Source organism: Homo sapiens, chromosome 21 (assembly GCF_000001405.40).
Source record: "Homo sapiens chromosome 21, GRCh38.p14 Primary Assembly".
Lineage (NCBI taxonomy): Eukaryota > Metazoa > Chordata > Mammalia > Primates > Hominidae > Homo > Homo sapiens.
Window position 1 is genome coordinate 32,836,782 of NC_000021.9, and position 20,672 is coordinate 32,857,453.

Consider the following 20,672-nt stretch of genomic DNA (forward strand, 5'->3'; position numbering starts at 1 on the left):
TCTTCATTTTAAAAGTTTCAATTAGGAATAGATTCTGGACACAATAAATTAACATGTAAACACATATGCACGTATTAGTTGAAAAACCATCATGATGCTAAATGGCAAAATGCTAAAACCATTTTTTCCGTTATTAAAGACAATATTGGTCACCATGGAAACTATTTTTTTAATACTGTTCTAGGAGTACTGGCCAGTGCAATTAGATAAGAGGAAAAAAAGCTGTAAATATGGGGAAAATTATTTGCAGATTACATCATTATATATCTCTAAAATCCATATAAATCAATTGAAAAGCTGTTAGAAATAATATGACTAAGTACCTGGTTATAAAGTTAGTTATACAAAAATTAATAGGCTTTTTCTGTACATAAATATAATGGGATGAATTGATCAATTTCAAGTCTGATTGGCTGGATGATTTTTTTTTCCTCTGCAAACCAGACCTTCTCTGCCTCTGAGCAGTGGTCTGTAACAGGATGAATTTCTGTTGGATCAGCTGAAGTGGTGGCTTGGGCAGTGAGGCAATTCTTCATCAAGACATACCTTTTTGTTGCTTCTAATTACCTGCTGGCAGGAACTAAAAGTGTGTCTCTTGTATGCATGCCATGTGTGTAAAATTAGAGTCTTTGAAATTGTTCAAATAAAGAGGATTAGTTATAGTTGTAGGGAGATATAAAGACTAAGCCAAAAGAAGCAGAGTTTATCTGCCTTCACACTTCACCCATCTGTTAACCCGGCTGAGACACATTTTCTTGTAGCATTAGTATTTTATGCACTGTTTTTCTTGATATAGTAACAGATTTAATTCATTCTTTATGGTAATAGATCCCTTGTATCCATAAAGAAAGAACATATTCCATCATTACCTTAATATCATGTCTAATACAGAGTGGCCGTACAATTGGAAAGTTATTTCTCAGACCACTAAACTTACACATAAATGTTAAACACTGTATATTACTTTTAAGCTTACTTTTGATCTGCTATCAAACCTAAGAAGTTGTTTTATTTTGATTAACTCTATATAATAGTTAATTTTTTTCCTCTAAAATGTGTTTTAAAGGCTGAAGCTGTATTTGACATCATTTTTAAAGCTATGTGATTTATTCTTTTTTATTCTCCACTGTCAAATATACATATTTGAAGATATGTATGGTAATACCATTTTCAAGCACTAGCTAGTTTAAGGAGCATAGAGCATGGTAAGTGATATAAAACTTCATTCACCCATAAACCCCAAACCCCTAGTACTGAATGCCCACATATATCATCCTTACTATCAGAGAAATTATGTTTATAACATATGCTGAGTTCAAGACCAGCCTGGGCAACATGGCAAAATCCCACCTCTATGAAAAAATATGAAAATCAGCCAGGTGTGGTGGCGCACCTGTAGTCCCAGCTACCTGGGGGGCTGAGATGGGAGGATAACCTGAGCCCTGGCAGGTCAAGGCTGCAGTGAGCCATGATTGTGCCACTGCATTCCAGCCTGGGTGACAGAGTGAGACCCTGTCTCAAAAAAAAACAAAAGAGAAAAGCATTCAGCTTTTTGCTTCCTACATGTATGTCACCACATAAACAAAGGAAAGTGAGACTCAAGTTACCGTAAAAGAGTCCTTCACTGGAAGCAAATCCTCAACTGTTTTAGAAAAATGAGTTTATGATCATTATTATTTTGCTAAAAGGATTCTTTATTTCATCACAGGAACCTTCTACTAACCCCCTTTAGTCTAAAAAAGCTCTAATCTATAAAAATTAAAAATATATAGATCAATTTGATCCTTATAGTTTATCCATCCAATAATTTTTTGGTTAATATTTGCATGGCAGATAAATCTTTACTTCCCTTATTTCTACCTCCTGTATTGAGTGCTCAATCAACTTTTAAATAAATTATCACATGTATATATACATAATAAGATTACTTAACATTCCTATGTTGAATTTTGAATTTGTTTCATTTGTTCATTCATTCTTACATCCAACAGATATGGATTGCAAACCTACTACATGGCAAGCATAAGTGCCCCGGGGTTATGGCAGTGAACAAAATTCTTATCCTCATACAGTTTATCTTCTGATTTGGTGGATATGAGAAACTGGTGAACTTAAGCTTAAAATCAATCAGATGCTGAGTTTGTTATTAAAAAACAGAAAAGAGAGCTCAGGTTAAATACATGCACTAGCTAATCTAAATCTTTCTTGGAAGTAGACTTGGTACTAGTCTCTCAATTATCAATCATTTGGGCATTCTGTGATGATTTTATTATATCCTTAATTGCATTGCAGAAATGGAAAAAAAATTATCTCTTCCAATTGCCGTTCCCATCTGATGAGTCCTTCATGGGAGCAACAAGCAGCTGATTTGCCATCAGCTTTGTACCAGTGTAGGGGCTATTTTGGCAACAACATATGCTTTGGTGTCAGAGTAACTGACCTTCGAATCTTAGCTCTTACTATGATATTGGGCTAGTTACTTGATTTCTCTGAGCCCATTCTTCCATCTGTTAAACAGGCATATTAATCCTGCTTTAAAGGAGTATAATTCAGATTAATGAAATAATCGGTGTATAGTACCTGGCAGGTCAGAGCTCCCCTACCCAAGGTCCCCATTTAGTGGCAGAGCCAGGATTAGATCCCACATCACCTCACTCTGGTGCCAGTCCTTGTCTCGTACCATGTTTACATTTAATAATCTCTGGTGATTTTACTCACATGACGAGACAATAGATTTATTCATCATTTATTAAGAAGACATTGAGTTCTTTGCTGTGCTGCCTCTTTGACCTCTCTGGGCCAAAAATGAGGGAGTTGTATGAGGCTCCAGGGTCTCTTTTAACCATGCACTTCTATGACTCTATGCAGGGTGGCCAACTGTCTTGATTTGCCTCAGACTCAGGGGTTTCCCTGAACAGGGACTTTCAGTACTAAAACTGGGAGAGTCAGAGAAAACTAGGATGGTTGTTCACCATAACTCCAGGATTCTTCCACATTTGGTTTATTCCATCAGCTTCCCTGATATACCTCTGAATACCCGAGATTGGACATAATCCTGCAAAAGAATTCAAACATCAAGTTAGCGAACAGAGCTGCAGCCATGTGGCCTCTCCACCTCTTCATTCACTCCTTCTTCTGCCTCTGCAGTTTCCTATCTGGGTGCTGCTTTGGGAAACTGTTTTTAATCATTCATTGCTATGGTTTTAGTTTTGGTGGCTAGCCAGAGAGCAGCTGATCAGCCATGTCAGCAGACTAAGGAACACTCACAGATATTTTCTTCTCTGCAAGGCTTGATGTCTCCGTTTACCTTGGGAAGAAAGCAGAATGTTCACAATCTCACTGCCTCTAGTCTCTCTAGTGAATGTAAAGGCAAGTTCCTTCTCCCACTCCTCCTCTGCCTCTTCATTTTTATTCTCTTTCTCATTATTATTATCATTACTACCAAAAGGCAGTCACCTCTAGGGGAACAACGACCAAATGAGAACCTCTCAGAGCACAGTGTTTTGATGCTGAGCAGAGGCTGCACACCTTGCAACCCGCTCCCTGGTGGGAAGACCGGCTCTGCCTGCCCCAGCTGAGATATCACTTAACAGTGCGGGCTCTTCAGGGGCAGGGCCAGGGCCTCCTCAACATGTTTACAAGATGTGTGGCTATTAGCAACATCTTACAGCTCAGCTAATTAACGGGGAGAGTGCCTGATGAAGCCTGGCTCTAAAGAGGACCAAATTGCATCAGTGTTTGGGCTTTAAATTGATACCAAAAAATAACTTACCGCAGGTGTGTTTTGAATCGCATCTTCCCCCAGCAGGTTGGTTGGTTGTTATGCTTCAGCTACCGCAGATCCCAAGGTGGCCCGAACGCCAGGGTTACGAGTTTATTAAGATCATTTAAGTTGGTTACATGTAGTCATTATTTTAGCTGAGCGGTTAAGTTCGTACGTGGTCACTGATATGGTTTGGACCTGCGTCCCCACCAAATCTCATGTCAAATTGTAATCCCCATTGTTGGAGGTGTGGTCTGGTGGGAGGTGATTGTTTCATGGGTGCTCATGAATTCTCATAAATGGTTTGGCACCACCGCCATGATGCTGTCCTCAGGATAGTGAGTGAGTTCTGGTGAGATCTGGTTGTTTAAAAGTGTGTAGCACCATCTCCCTCTCTCTCTTGTTCCTACTCCAGCCATGTGATGTGCCTGCTTTCCACTGCCCACCATCATTGGAAGTTTTCTGAGGCCTCTGCAGAAGCTGAGCAGATCTCAGCATCATGTTTCCTGGACAGCATGCAGAACTGTGAGCTAATCAAAACTCTTTTTTTTTGTTTGAGATGGAGTCTCGCTTTGTCACCTAGGCTGGAGTGCAGTGGCATGATCTCAGCTCACTGCAACCCTGCCTCCCAGGTTCAAGCGATTCCCCTACCTCAGCCTCCTGAGTAGCTGGGATTACAGGTGTCCGCCACCACGCCTGGCTAATTTTTGTATTTTTAGTAGAGACTGGGTTTTACCATGTTGGTCAGGCTGGTCTTGAACTCTTGACCTCATGATCCACCTGCCTCCACCTCCCAAAATGCTGGGATTACAGGCGTGAACCACCGCACCCAGCCTCAAAACTCTTCTTTGTAAATTATCCATTCTCGGGTATTTCTTCCTCTTTTTTTTTTGGACAGGAAGTAGGATTTATTAGTGAGTATTAAGAGGGGGCAGCACAGTCGAAGCCCTCATGAGTGCAGGGCCTGCCACTTGTCCAGAGGGCCACGACTAGGGATGTACTTGATCCCACAGCCATCTGGGATGAGCCGCTTCTCAGCCACCATGTCTTCAAATTCATCTGCATTGAACTTGGTGAAGTCTCACTTCTTTGAGATGTGGATCTTTGGGGTGGCCAGGGAACTTGAACTTGGCCCTGCGCAGGGCCTCAATCACATGCTCCTTGTTCTGCAGCTTGGTGCAGATGGACATGATAACCGTGGTACAATGTGAACCCCGGCCACAGTGCCCTGGGGTTTTCCAAAGGCACCTCGCATGTCTGTTTGGAGCATACATTGGGGTAATACAAGGTCAGAGACATGAACATCCATCTGAAGGGCCTGTCTCCAAGGTCCCTTAGAGCAACGCATACAAGAAACAGGCTGCGTACACTACCAAGGAAGCTGCTGTTTGCAGCCATTGCACACCTGGCCCCCGGGAGGAAAGGAATTCAGTCAGCTTAATTGGTTGCAGATTGGGTATTTCTTCATAGCAATGTGAGAAAAGACTAATACAGTTGCCAACCCCCATGAATCCTATACCAGGAGCCACCTCGTCTTGCCACAGCTAAGGATATGATCTAAGTCTTGTCTTGGACGAGCTCACTCTCCACTCTGTGGCACACATGTTTTCCTTTAAAATACCCCTGTTATTCAAGCAGGAATGAAATATTTCTCTCACTTTTCTGATTGAAGTCTTTCCATGCTGAATTTTCTTAATCAGACCAGTAGGTGAGTTCCATTTCTTATATAATCTTCCTTTTACTAATAATCTCTTCAGTAGATAATGACCTTAGCAACTGTTGACACAACTTCCTCTATTTGAAGTTTTAAAAGTTTTGTTTGGTCAAGAAAAATAACTTGGAATTTTGAGGTCACTTCTGTGGCTACTCATGGATTGAATTGTCCTGGTTACCTAGTGATTTATTGCTTTTTGCCCACTGGTAGGAAGGAGGTTCCCAATGTTGGAGGTGTGGCCTGGTGGGAGGCGATTGGCTCATGGGTGCTCATGAATTCTCATAAGTGGTTTAGCGCTACCCCTTCGATGTTGTCCTCAGGATAGTGAGTGAGTTCTGGTGAGACCTGGTTGTTTAAAAGTGTGTAGCCCCTTCCCCCTCTCTCTCTTGTTCCTACTCCAACCATGTGATGTGCCTGCCTTCCACCGTCCGCCATCACTGGAAGTTTTCTGAGGCCTCTGCAGAAGCCTAGACATGGTAGAACCCACGTCTGTTTTATGAAGGGTAAAATAGCACCCCTACGATACTGTATCATGCTGCCAGAGTTTAATAAATTGGGGTAAAAACCAGTATTTCCCAACTCTCAAGGGAAAAGGCTGTGTTATTTGTGAAGTATTATCAGTAGGATGATTTTACCAAGGCATCTTGGTTCATTCTCAGTGTTGAGGAGATTTCTGTATCCACTGGGAAGCTGACCAGGCATCATCTAAGATCCTTTTCGGGGTAGAGAACATGCCAGCACCAGTGGCTACTCTTGGACAGAAGGGGAAGGTTGGTAAAGGAGTCAGCTGACAAGACTTTCACTTTTATTTTTATCCCCTTCAGTTGATTTTGAAAAATGAAAGGTCATGTCTTGCTGTTGAATAATAATAATAATAATAATATCTTTTATTTAATTTTAATTTTAATTTTTGAGACAGTCTCACTCTGTCACCCAGGCTGAAGTGCAGTGGTGCCATCTCAGCTCACTGCAACCTCTGCCTCCTGGGTTCAAGCAATTCTGGTGCCTCAGCCTCCCAAGTAGCTGGGATTACAGCCACCATGCCTGGCTAATTTTTTTTATTTTAGCAAGAAGGGGTTTCACCACGTTGCCCAGGGTGATCTTGAACTCCTGAGCTTAAGTGATCCTTCCGCCTTGGCCTCCCAAAGTGCTGGGATTACAGGCGTGAGCCACTGCGCCCAGCCAATAATAATACCTTTTTTCAGGCTGTGATTCAAATGTTCCCTTAGTTCTCTTAGTTGTGTTTACCTCTGAGCAGACATAAAAGGGGGCTGTGGACTTAGGGCTGCCCCCAGGAATGGTGGCAACTGTGTGGTCATAAGTGACAAAGGGTCACATACAAACCAGAAGGTGGGAGGTGACCCATGCAGTCTCCAACCCTGCGCCAAGGCTGGTCAAGCCCTCTTATTTTGGGGGCACTTTGAGGGGAGGGTGGGATAAGAGTTGCAGTTGCAAGAGAGGTATATGGCTCAGGTGACCTGCTACCTATGATATGACATCATTCCTTTCATGCTGAGCTCACAGGGGCGCTGTGAGGTTTGCTATTCACTAATCACACGTTGGCTAATCCATCACATTCATGGAGCAAAGGTCAGCCACATACATGCAAAATAGCAACCAAACATCACTCCTAATATTGCCTAATGACTTTCTCTTGAAAGTCAGACTTGGGCTGGCCTCACCTTCCAGTATCATCTAGCTGGTGCATCAAAAACTACGAGGGTTCTACCGGAGCCACCAGAGGCTGACACAGCTGCCCTTCACCAGCCCCTCTGCGAAGTCTGTCCTCTGTCTCTCCTGAGGACATCCTCTCCCCCTCCAGCAGGTCTTTTAGCCACATGTCTTTATTCTTGCCTTGATTCTAAAACCATCCCCAGTCTGCTTTTGCCTAATAGAGAGGGAGAAAAGTCTATTGCTTTCTTTTCTTTTATTCCTACTCCCCCTGGCTTTTTTTGAGTCAGGATCTTGCTTTGTCACCCAGGCTGAAGTGCAGTGAAGCAATCACAGCTCACTCACTGCAGCCTTGAACTCCTGGACATAGCCATCCTCTCATGTCAGCCTTCCAAGTAGCTAGGACTACAGATACATGCCACTATACCCAGCTAAGTTTTTATTAAACATTTTTTATAGAGACAGGGTCTAGTCTCAAGCTGGTCTCAAGCTCACTGCAGCTTCAAACTCCTGGCCTCTAGCCATCCTTCCACCTCGGCCTCCCAAAGTTCTGGGACTATAGGCATGAGCCTCTGTATCCCCTGGAAAGTCAATTTCTAAGAGCTCAGCATCCATCCAGGTGGAAGAGGTGAACATAGGCATCTCTCCTCTGTGATCACTGCCACTGCAATGGGAGAACAGGAAAAGATGGCAGTTGATTTCTGTCCTTTCATCATGAGTCCATCTACTCTCCTTCCCATCTCACATCCTGGACTTGCTTCCGACGACAACGTTATCAAGCCTGCAATTAAAAGCAACCACTTTTATGAGTCATTGTTTTGCGAAAGCAAATACCCTTAATATGTTGATTCAGAAGGTTTCAGGGGAGCCACCATGAGGCCACTTGTGCAATGCCAGGCTAACTACTTTTGAAAGAGGACCATATGCTGCCTTTACAACATCCCTTTGGTGTTTAATTTGATGAAACAATGTGCCACAATCAGCTGTGAGGACAGCAGCCGTGATTGATGGAGACTGACTCACGTGGTCTGACTCTGATTTCAATATCACCGCGCTAATCCCATTATTCGCTTGAGTTGGCTTGTTTTGGGCTACCTTAAAAAAAGTTATTTCTTTAATGGTCAAATTGCCGTGAGGTCTGGAAGATTTAATGTATCATAAAACTCATTAAATAACCAGCCTGGCAGCCCACACCACTGGGTAGTGTGCTAGCATATGGGAGATCCAAGCTGAAGACTTCAGCATTCATTTCAATGCCACCCAGCCAAAGCCTCAAGGGACAAGTCTGGAGTGTGTGTTCTAAGCCAGCATTCCTCCAACTTTCATGGACGCATGAATCATCGGAGTGCTTTACGAAAGTGCAGATTCTGATTCAGCAGTTGTGGGGCGAGGCTTGAGATTCTGCATTGCTGACAAGTTGATGTCCATTCTTCTGGTCCAAGGCCCAAACTTTGAACACTAGTGAACATTCACTAGAGGGTCTTGTGAATATCCATTGACAGCAGCTAACACTTATGAACCACATGACTGTGTTGTAAGTACTGTATGTGTGTGTTATATGTGTCTGCTTATTTAATCTTTACTTTTAACCTCATGAGGGAGATATTATTATCACCTCCATCTTCTAGATGAAGAATTAAATAATTGAATACCTAAGTGAATAAACTAAATAACTGAGGCCACACAGCTTGGTCCAGTACTTTTTGCCTTTTAGGCATGTTTATGAATCTGTGAGATCTATTTTTAGAAGTTAATTACCAAGTCTACTTTTTTTCCAGTTAAATGCCTAGGTCATGGTTATTGTTGTTCTGTTACTTATGAAGTAAAATAAGCAGAATAAAACCCAAAAAACACAAAATAACCTATTTGTTATTTTGAATCTTTTAAAATATAACATCAACAATACATTTTTCACATTAAAAAATCTATTGATTTGAGAAAACTGTACTTAAACCATGGCCCCAGGGTGAACGAATGGTGAGCGGGAATAAAATAAAATTCAAAACCATGTCCCCTGACTGCACAGCCTCTTTGTTTTTTGTTTTTGTTTTTTTCCAACCTCATCATTACACTCCTTTCACATAGGACTCAGTGCCCTGGCCCCATTTTTAGTTAGAGAACGGTGGCTCTTGTATAGATCTGCCATGGGCTTGTACTGGGTAAAACGATGAAATTTGTCTTGGGGGCTTTAGACGTCTCTTTCTGGATCCCTTTCTCTAAAAGATAATATTTACCACAGCAGGATGCCGCTAATACTGAATCAAAGCAATATGTAGCCAAGCCATGAGCAGCTAATATCCTAACCTGAGCCCTGCCTGGAAGTGGCAGCCGTGTTAGCCTCTCTGGTGCTTTATGTTGAATGGGTGCTCGGGGTGAAGGGACTCTGGCAGCCTTCCCAGAAAGGGAGATGGCAAAAGAGAAAACAAACACCTTCTAGAGGTTTCTGGGGAACTTAGGGAATCCTAGAAAACCTGTGTAAGGTAATGCAAGTACGTTTCTCCTCCCATCTGTTTTAATTGGCATTCCCACTCACCATTCATTTCACCCTGGGGCCATGGTTTAAGTACAGTTTTCTCAAATCAATGGATTTTTTAATGTGAATTTTTTTTTTTTCTTTTTGAGACGGAGTCTCGCTCTGTCCTCCAGGCTGGAGTGCAGTGGCGCAATCTTGGCTCACTGCAATCTCTGCCTCCCGGGTACATGCCATTCTCCTGCCTCAGCCTCCCGAGTAGCTTGGATTACAGGTGCCTGCCACCATGCCTGGCTAATTTTTTGTATTTTTAGTAGAGACGAGGTTTCACCGTGTTAGCCAGGATGGTCTCGATCTCCTGACCTCGTGATCTGCCCGTCTCGGCCTCCCAAAGTGCTGGGATTACAGGCATTAGCCACCACGCCCGGCCGAAAAATGTATTTTTGATGTTATATTTTAGAAGATTTAAAATAACAAATAGGTTATTTTGTTTTTCGGGGTTTTTTTCTGCTTATTTTACTTTATAAGTAACAAAACAACAATAACCACAACCTAGGCATTTAACTGGAAAAAAGGTAGACTTTGTAATTAACTTCTAAAAATAGATCTCACAGATTCATAAACAAGCCTAAAAGGCAAAAAGTACTGAACCAATGTTACTTCAGAAAACTCAGTGAACCCACACAAATGCCCCATTTTGTACAGATAAAATAAGAGTTACGTGTCAAAAGATAAACCAGGTTACGGCATTACAACCTTTCCTTTAGAAGGAATGTGCTGAAGGGGAAGAACATTACTAGACTGGTGATCAGGAGGCCTGAGATTTAACCCCATGTTAATTTGAACCTCAGCTTCCTCATCTGTAAGATAAGGGAGACTGACATCCAGACCTGACGTTAGATGAATTAAGCCTCACTGGGGGATGCAACACCAACCTGAGGTTTACTGATCGGGTAGCTCATTCAGCCACAGCCATCACCCTCTGTTTTCCACTGGGCTTTTAGATACATCATAAAACACTAGGATTTTTCTGCTTCAGCCAGTTGCAATTGCTCAGAAACCTCATAAGAATATATATTCCTTTTTTATCTTTTTTTTTGAGACAGGGTTCCCCAGGCTGGAGTGCAGTGGCACAATCATGGCTCACTGCAGCCTCAACCTCCCCAGGCTCAGCTGATCCCCCCACCTCAGCTTCCCAAGTAGCTTGGAGTACAGGCACTTACCACCATGCCCAGCTACTCTTTCTATTTTTTGTAGAGACGGGGTTTCACCATGTTGCCCAGAATGGCCTCAAACTCCTCGGCTCAAGGGATTGCCTGCCTCAGCCTCCCATAGTGCTGGGATTACAGGCATGAGCCACCGTGCCTGTCCACTATTTATTCTATATATATATATATGGGAAATATTTACATATATTTGTTTGCTGGACTAGGCATTGTGTAACACATAAATTATCCATTACAATAACAGCATGAGATGCTGTTCTTTCCATTTTACAGATGGGATGGGGAAGCTCAAAGAGGTTAAGAGACCTGCCCATGGTCACTGGGTGACTGAGGCTTTACCACCATGAAAATCTTTCCATGTAGGTCAACGGCATTTCCTTCTGTAGAGACCTGTGCGCCATGCCCATCCCTTCCTGCTAATGATGCAGCTAGCTAGCTTGCTTGCTTGCTTGCTTTAGCCTCAGCTCTTTTTTAGAGTAGGAAGGCTTTGTATTTTAGCCTATAGTGTGCTATTAACAATGCTTTCCATCAGCAGCCTTTGTTTCTCATAAGGAGTAAGACAATAAGCAGCCCTAAGTATTTATTCATTTCTCTTCAACTCTTGCATGGAACTTAGGTCAGCTTTAGTTTTACTCCCCTCTGCGTTCTTTGTAATCTTGTGGATTGTATGGAGAAATCTGCCCCAAACAGATGACCTGATTACTGAAACCCCCGCATTTTCTGTGGTTTTCCATTGTAAGGGAATCACTGCACTGTAAAATCCATAGGAAAATGCCATTTCTCTAAGCATATTTCTCCAAAAAGTTTTCACCAAACATATGCATTTTCTTAACCTGAAGTTCTTCATCAGTCCCGGCCTCTGTCTTTGAAACGCCCAAAATGTGATGATGTAGGAAAAAAAAATTTAGGGTTGATGGGAAAGGAATGGATTTTAGAGGAAGATGTTTGCAAAGTTCTGGGAGTGGTAAGGAGAAATGGGAAAGGGAGAGAGACCACTCGGGTCTGTTCTGTGTGCAGCCATAGTATTGTTTGCTATTGAGTTGTTTGTGACTTTCTCTCCCATTCCCATCCTCAGATTTAAATGACCAATTTTGGCATAAGGACTCACAGGTGCAGAACATTCTATAGGCTTGGACGACTTCATAAAAAATGATTCAATCATATCTGGGACGAAGGCTGTCCCACTTATTCTCTCTAGCAGCCTAATGCTCTTGCTTTATTCAGATTTCCAATAGCAACTGTCATTGACTTTGTACACTTATGCATTGCATTAAGATTGTACTTATTGTTTGGAACTCTTAATGCTGCAAATACCCGTGCAAGACTTAGACGCTGATAAGAGAGGAGGTGGTAAGGAATGTTTGAATTAACTCATAACTGCTACTTGCAAAGTTTCCAAAAGGTCTGATTTTTAAAAATTGTCTTTAGCATATGTAGAAAGATGTGATCATGAACTCACTGAAATATGGCTACCCTGGGAATATATTTTATAAAGAAGAAAAGAGTTCTTAATTCAAAGACACTGGGTCATGTTGAAGTTGAAAAAATTCTTGTCTATTACCTTTTTTTCATTTGTGTTCCCTAGAATTCAATAAAAATATATGCTATCACTCCTGTCCCTGTCAACTGCTCTGCCTCAGTTATAATATAGCAGAGAGTTATTTAACCTAACCCAGACTAAAAATTATCACCACATCGAGAAATCACCTGGTAAAAGTATTTACTTTCTTTCCTATAAAGCATTCTCTCTCAGTGATTTTTGCATTAGTTTACTTTAGTCACAAAATGATGCAAACCAACAAGGAAAACTAAAATGGTTTTTATCTAATGTACATATAATTGCCGATGAAAAAGTTTCAGAAATCTCAATTACCCACTGTATTATTGTAACCTGTTTTAAGCAACAGGTACTAAAATGAATAGAAATGAATGTTTTTGATCACTCTCCTTCCCCCTCTGCTCCCTATCGTTTAAAATCACATGTCTTACAGTAATTCCATTAGATTTTCAGCTGCTTTTCGAGAAGCAGGGTGTCCGAGCACAACAAAATGTTTCCTGCCAAACAATGGTTCTGCTTAATTTGATGCCTTACCCAGAAACCCAACAATATTCCATGAGACCATTACACACTATTTTATCCTTTTCTTCTCTTTTTTTAATGTTTCACTTGCAGGAGCAGGGAGGGGAGGGGGAAAGGCTAAAACAAACTAATTTTTGGTCATTTTATTCCTTTAGCAAACAGTTTGAAGGCTAACCAATTTGTACTTACAAATCTGGGGCATTAGCAGACGGGGACCCTAAATCCTCATGCATGCAAGCAGTAACTGTTTGTATGCCAAGCTGTTTGTAAGCCTGATTTGACAGGAGAGAGCTATTCATTCTTTTGTCAACTGTCAGTCTAAAAACGTTAACCTGCCTGGGTCCCGGGGTATGGGAGCGCTAAATCTTCCGTCCTACCACTGTATAATGAACAGACTGTTTCATTAGTGGGACAATTCACTCGACAAATCCAGCCCAAACAACTTATTTCACAATTTGTGAGCAGAATTAAATTTCGGGGGAGTCGCAAGAGGGGGGCGGGAGGGGAGGAGGGGGAGTAGGTGAGCGGCACACAATATACTGAGGGATCAATGTGTTGGGATAAGTGTTCCAGGCAATTTTGCTGGCAGTTGTGGGCTGAGGCTTGCAGGGCCACCGCATGCAGATCAGCGGATTAGGGGGACCGCAGCATTAGGTCAAGTGTCTCGAGGGGAGCTGATAAACACCCCAAACCTGACAACAGATTTTCCTTTCTTCCTGCACCACTTGTTAAGTGTCAGAGCAAATCTTTTGAATGGCAGTGGAGTTTACTTAGAGGCCCTTTCTTCAAGAAGACACTCTATCCATTTTCTGAAGCCCATTCCAGGCTGCCTCAGGAATAAATTTGCCCCACATCTCACACACACAAAAAAACGTCTTTTTCCTCCACATCTTGACTATGAGCCTTTGTCTCAAGGTGTGTGAACCAGAACAAAAATCCACATCAAGAGCCCCTAAGGTTTCAGAGCCTCTGGATTTAGCTTTAATACAAATTAAACACTTTGAAGATTACACAAATACTTTTTTTTTTTTGGTCACAGAAAAGTCTCATTTTAAACATTACCAATGTATGGATTCTGTTAAACGGAGAAATTTTAAGCAGCAAAGGGTCATAGAATGACTAGATCTTAACAATATCCTATATGTACATTGCTGTTAATTCAAACAGAGTAAATAGCCAGCATGCTATATTTCTTTCAATTTAAGAATCCCAAACAGGAGAAGCCAGCCATGCTTATTGTATTAAGTTGTATCTCTGTGTTAACTCAAAGTATGTGATAGAAAATCTGTGTTGCAACATTTAAAATTTGCTTACTAGTTTTGAGCAGAGAAGTTTATTTTCACTTTGAGATGTTCTAAAATGTTTAAATAGCCTCAAATGTTTGAGGGCTTTTTGTTGCAGCTTGGTTTTGCATTATGGTTTTGTTTTTTATTTCTTTTGGCTGTTTAATTTTTGATTTGGTATGGTGTGCAAATCTAATGTGAAGTTTTCAAGTGACCACTGTTAAAAGGATCAAGTAGGAAAGTCCTCTGAATATTAGCATGTCATTTTCCCAGACATTTGCACTGGAGCCATTTTGGGCAATCGGTTTGAAGATATTTTCCTTTTAATAAGTATTTTCTATCAAATAGAGTCTTATGGAAGAGAAAATAAGTGTTTTGGCTATATTTTTACAATACTTTTTTGAATTTAGGTAGTGGAAAATATGTTACTGAAGTACTGAACAATATTTCTGTGCTGGACCAACACTATGATAATTATTTCAATATTATTGATTTCTATTGTGAACTCCACCTACTCTATAGAGAATATTTAATCAGGCAAACTAGTACTTATGCCAAAAATGCTTCTTATTCTCCCTCTTCCGCTAGAAAATTTCGCAGGATTAGAGCTATTATATTATCTAGTAGTTACATCTTTGGTGCCTGAGGATCTCAACACTAAATGGAACCATTACAGGACATTCTACACTCACTCTATACGCTGGATTCCTGTTATATGAAGAGATTCATTATTCTTTACCTCATTTTCACCATTTTTTAGGAAAGAAAAATGTACTGTATTTCACTGTGCTGAATGCAACTGCCAATCAAGATAGTCTGCAGCCTACCTGTGGACCTTAATGATTTCACATGTTCTGCGGAAGAATTTCTCCCCCACCTCCAATGACTATGGCATTCCTTGGGAAAGTTAGCTTGGTATTTACTTTTCCCCAGCAGGTCCCAAGCTGACCAAAAAAATAAATAAAAATAAAAAATAAAATCAACAACAACAACAACAACAACAAAAACACAAAACAACAATCAGTTAGCCAGGCTGTTTCAATGGCCCAATAAGTTCCATGATAGCAAGAATTCTATGAATAATAATGGGACATGGAATCCCATGCAGCCTCGCGGAGAGCTCAGCCAAATCACCCGGAAATTCTGCTTCATCACAGCCCTTTCTCTTGCCATAAAACTGCTTGGGCTCTGTCTTTGCTTCCACATCATTTAAGCCTTTCTGCCGACCCTCCAGCAATTCCATCCCTGGGGCCTCCGCCCGTCACTATGCTGGGGCTCCCCAGGGCTTCTCAAGAGGCTCCGTCAGCTCCATCCTAGAGGCCTCTTCACAGCACCAGATGAAGTCCACACCTCCTTTTGTAGGACGTTCAAGCAACACAGGCCAGAGTAAGGATCAAAGTAAAAGTCATCCTAAATTCACCACTGAGAGATACCACTGCCGGTAAACAGGAGACTGCTTTTTCGGATGTCTACGCATTTATACATCTTGCCCAGTAACAATGGTACTATATCATACATACCATTTTCTTTTATTTTATTTGTATAAATTTATGAGGTGCAAGTGGAATTTTGTTGTATAGACAGATTGTGTAGTGGTGAAGTCAAGGCTTTTAGTGTGTCCATCATGCAAATGAGGAATATTGTACCCATTAATTAATTTCTCATCATCCACCCCCTCCCATCCATACATACCATTTTATAAATAGCTTGTTTTAGCCAACAATATGTCATGAAGTTTTTTTTTTCATTTCACTGACTCTATATCTTCATATTCCTTTTCTTTTTTTTTTGAGATGGAGTTTTGCTCTTGTTGCCCAGGCTGGAGTGCAATAGCACAATCTCGGCTCACTGCAACCTCTGTCTCCAGGGTTCAAGTGATTCTCCTGCCTCAGCCTCCTGAGTAGCTGGGATTACAGGCACGTGCCACCATGACCAGCTAATTTTTTGTATTTTTAGTAGAGATGGGGTTTCATCATGTTGGCTAGGCTGGTCTTGAACTCCTGATGTCAGGTGATCCACCCGTCTCAGCCTCCCAAAGTGCCGGGATTGAAGGTGTGAGCCACCGCACCTGGCCCATATTCCTTTTTAAAGACAGCATCAGAGTTCATCATATAGATATTCTTTAATTATATAATTAATCCCTTTTGTGGGCCATTTGTGGGGGTGCTCATTTTTTTCTTATTAGAAAGAAAGCTGAAATCAATGTCTTGTACAAATACCTTTTGTGTACTTCTCTGGTTAGCGCTTTAAGATAAAGACTTAAAAGAGGCATTGTTAGCTCAAAGGATATATATATTTTCACATATGTAGTTAAGCTGACCTCTGGAAATTTATCATATTATGCAAATCCTGTCAGCTGCTTTTCAGGGGCAGGAATGCAGTGGGGCAGGGAGGCCATATTTACTTGTGACACAGGATTTTTCTTGGCCACTTTGCCAACTGGGGACTTCCATGGCCAGTGACCCCCTCCCTGCCCAGACGTCGCTTAGCCCGGCCTGCCTCTGGAGGCGCCCTGCCCACTTGGCCCACCAGTGTTATAGCTTGTACCCAAGTTTGGTGATTCCTAAGCTCTTGTGTCATGTCCAAGCAGAAAGAGGATATGCTGCTGACAATTGAAGGGTGAGGATGGATGGAGAAGAATTTTATTGAGCGATGGAACAGCTCTCAGTGGAGAGGGAACATGGCGGGGGTGGTCCCCCACCCCTGCACTCAGGTGGTTTCTCTCTCCCAGTGTGGCTGAGTCAGGGACTTTTATGGGCTCAGAATAGGGGAGTGTGTGCTGTTTGGTTTGTGAGTATGCAAAGAAAGGCTAAAGCAAAGGCACCACTAAAGGTGGGCACAGCAGTGTAGAAAACCAATTAGAAAAAGGTAAGTATATGTAAAATAGGTGAGGGGTGGGGACGAATCAGAGGAAAGTGTGCCAAATGGGAAGACAGGTTCTCAATCCAATCTGTGGATTTGACGTGTAGCTTGGCTTTCAGGCTTTAAACTGTCTTTAGCTTGAAGGTCAGGTTTCACTGGGGACCTGCCCATATCTGCCTAGGTATTTGTCTGCCTCCTGCCGCTATCAATTCCCCCCTCTGAAGAGGTACCTCTAACTGTCATTAGGATAAGAACGGTGACCGATCTTAACTGCTTCATGCTGACAGGAGGTGCCATTTTGGGAAAATGGCAGTCAGTTCTCCCTCAGAGGCCTCTCTAAGGGTCCCTGACAAAAGGGAGCCATTGTCTGAGGCTCCAGTTGCATGACCATTTGCAGTTTGATGGCCTGAAGGTGAAAAGAGACAAACCAGGTTATTAGAAGACATGTATCAAAATGAAACAAGGGGGTAAGGACAGTTCAAAAATCCCAAGGTTGCCAACATGCCCAGATAACTGATGGCTATAGTTATGCCTGCTAAGATTTGAGTGCATGGAGCTTGGCTTTGGTTAGCTCCCTTGGTCTTATTTTCCCAAACAAAGAAATCTTGGGGTTATGGGCACCCTATTTACTCCTATCACCTGGCAGGATTTGCAGGATAATTGCCCAGAACTAGAATATTGATCCAGATTTTTACATTACCCAGCCCTTCTGTTTCTTCTGAGCTGCAGCTGGAGATCACTGGTTGGTTCACAGGAATAAGCAGGGTTAGTCTAAAATGCAGACAAAAACTTAAAAACAATGAGACTAGAATTTAATGTCAAGTGTACGATAAGTTTTGAAACATATTTTTTTCTCTCTCCAGTCCTCATTTTTGTTAAAAACAAATCATGATAGGACTGAGTTGTTTGCAAAATAAACTTTCATCTTATATATGGCTTAATTATCTGCATAAAGTGCAGGAAGAATAATTATTTTCACATAGGCTTTTCTAAGTTGGCTTTGATGAAACTCTGTTCCAGAAGTAATCTTAGATAAAACTTTTCAAAGCTGAGCTCAGCCATGGGTTTATACCCTCAAATACCTATGATTTGGGTAAATTCCTCTCTTCCTGAGGTTCTAAGAAAGCTTGGGGCTGCTGGGCCTGTTAGAAAGTGACATTCTTTACTCACCACAGGTTACGAACCCTGTAAAGGAACTGTGTAGACAAGGTGTGAGGCCAGGTTTCCCAAGGGGCTTTTATTGGTTCTGCAAGTCAAGCTTGATTCCCTAAAGGAAAGTACATCATTCCAGTCAAAGCCTTGGCAGAACAACCAGTTTCTCCAATTGAATATTGTTGCAAAAGAAAATGGATTCTTATTGCACTGGTGCAAATAACTATATTGCCGTAAGTTAAGGATACTCGCAAATAGTTTCCAAATTCTAGAGAAACCAGGCAGAGAGAAACAAATATGCTCCAAATTTTGTTCACAGTAGTATACCTTACTCAATTGTTAAAAGTTGTAGATAGCTCAAAAGATTCCTTGACTCTGAAAAACAAAACAAGGATCAGCAATGTTTTAAGCAAAATTTTGAAAACATTACTTCAGTTTTCTATTGATTCAGTCCAATATCTGCTTGATATTCATGAACATTTCAGCTCTTCATGAGTCCTGAATGTTTTTCCTTTATTCCAATGTCACAATCTCCAAAGATATCAGGAACCTGCATTTAAGAGCACCTGTCAAAGTTCTATAGCTGATTATCAACCATCTTTTGAAAAGGAACAATACAAGACAACAATTATCTGTGAATGACAAAATGTTCAGGCTAGTTACAGTTAAAAACTTGATTGACAGAGAAATTTGGCTACTTGTATGGTTTACAATAACTTAACATAATAACCTTAATTATGATTGATAACATATACTCAGACATTAGAATTTTAGAAATCCTATGCAATTTTGGAACATACATTAATATTATTCACCAAAATAGAACCTGAAAATTAAATGTTATTTTTATTTTGGCAATCCCATGTAACTAAACATGTCAAATAATCCTGTTTACCTCTCTTTTGGATGTTCCAGGGGCCCTCTGTAGCATCCAAAAGTTAGGGGCTAGAAAAGACAACCTTGAAGCTAAAGTTTGATTTTTGGGGAAGCCTACAAACATGTTAAAGGTTTAAAACATTTGATATTATGCAATAGAATTCCAGGTTACCACAAGTCATTTATTTAGCCAAAATAATGATTTAAAACATTTTTAAAAAGGCAAAAACCTTTACATACTAAGAGGGAAGACTTAGCTTTCCAAACAATCTGTCTTGTCTTCCTCCCTCCTTTATTTGAAACCTTATAGATAATTCTATCCAATCTTAACCAGTTTGACCATGAGGTGAGGTTCCTATAAACCTTTTATAACCCTTTACAAATTTTTGTTAAAGAGCAGATCAATACATTAAGAAAACCCTGTTATGCTTTAATTCCAATGCTTGATTTACGGAAAAACCAAATCATACCCTTTTGAATTTAGTTGATCTCAAATGAAGTTTCTTTTACAAGATTAATTTTTACCAACCTTTCACAACTTCTTTAAACCTTTAGCTTTATCTTATCTGATTTAAAACAATTCTTTAACCCTCTAAACTAGGCAAAAATTTATATTCCCATGCCTTCTTATAATATTTTACCAAAAATATATTTTACTTTCTTTACACACCTTGCATGTAAATCTATTTTTAGTAGTCCCAATTATGTGTTATAATGGTAACTCTTAGCAATTTTTAATTTTAGTGTAAAACCTGGTAAGCTGTTTTAATTATGTACTAGGTGCAGCTAAGATCTGACACTTTCCAGTATAGTAAGAGGTATAGTTAACTCCACATGTCCCAAGGCCTTACCAAACTGTAAAGCAGACAAGCCGAACAGTTTTCAAAATCCAAAGAAGCAGTTTATGACCTTAGAGCATTTAGCAAACCTAATATCTGAACATAATTTAGACCACATGTTTACATTTTGAAGACATTTGTATTTTACCAATAATCTTTAAAACTGTTTTTATTTCTCAAAGATTAAAGTCATGTGAACTAAATGGCATTACAGCTTTTATTTTTCCTTTAAAATTTTTGATCTAAGCCTTTATTTTCTTTAAGCCAATTAATTAGAGCTCCTTTTTATACAGACAGACAGAAGAAGATCCAGTAGTTGTAAGATTTTTCATCTGCCAGTTTCTTAATTTGATTACTGGCCTCAGGGTGGAGCCCTTCAAGAGCAGGGCTAGGAAAGCATGCAGTTTCTAGGGCTAATAAACAGGCATAGCAGGAAGACAAATACAGATTTTGAGAGGGTTCTATCCACTTTTAATTCCTGGTGTTCCATGAGGAAAACACAGGTTTTTGCCCAAAATGGGGTCCATGGCACCTTTTCTGTTTTTCCCAAGCCATCCCAGGCTATCAGAAGTTGTCTTAGGGCCTCTCATGTGTGCATTAAGGGTGGCAAGACAGGCTCGGTGGCTCACGCCTGTAATCCCAGCACTTTTGGAGGCTGAGGTGGGCAGATCACAAGGTCAGGAGATCGAGACCATCCTGGCTAACACGGTGAAACCCCATCTCTACTAAAAATACA

The 20,672-nt window shown here is 40.9% G+C and overlaps 1 long non-coding RNA gene and 1 other non-coding gene across 2 annotated transcripts, besides 1 other annotated feature; both read right to left on the bottom strand.

The window, feature by feature from the left end:
- Positions 1-5,079: 5,079 nt before the first annotated feature.
- LOC124900470 (small nucleolar RNA SNORA70) lies at positions 5,080-5,214 on the bottom strand. The gene has a single exon (XR_007067942.1). It is a non-coding gene; the product is annotated as a small nucleolar RNA SNORA70 (small nucleolar RNA).
- A 2,360-nt stretch (positions 5,215-7,574) lies between these two features.
- LOC124905012 (uncharacterized) lies at positions 7,575-13,225 on the bottom strand. Its single transcript, XR_007067846.1, has 2 exons — positions 13,114-13,225; positions 7,575-7,929 (listed from the first exon to the last, which is right to left on the bottom strand). It is a non-coding gene; the product is annotated as an uncharacterized LOC124905012 (long non-coding RNA).
- Positions 12,365-14,857: an enhancer, noted in NCBI's record as "VISTA enhancer hs1548". NCBI's record gives its function as "enhancer in: forebrain[6/6]" and the evidence as "EXISTENCE:transgenic organism evidence [ECO:0001131][PMID:17130149]".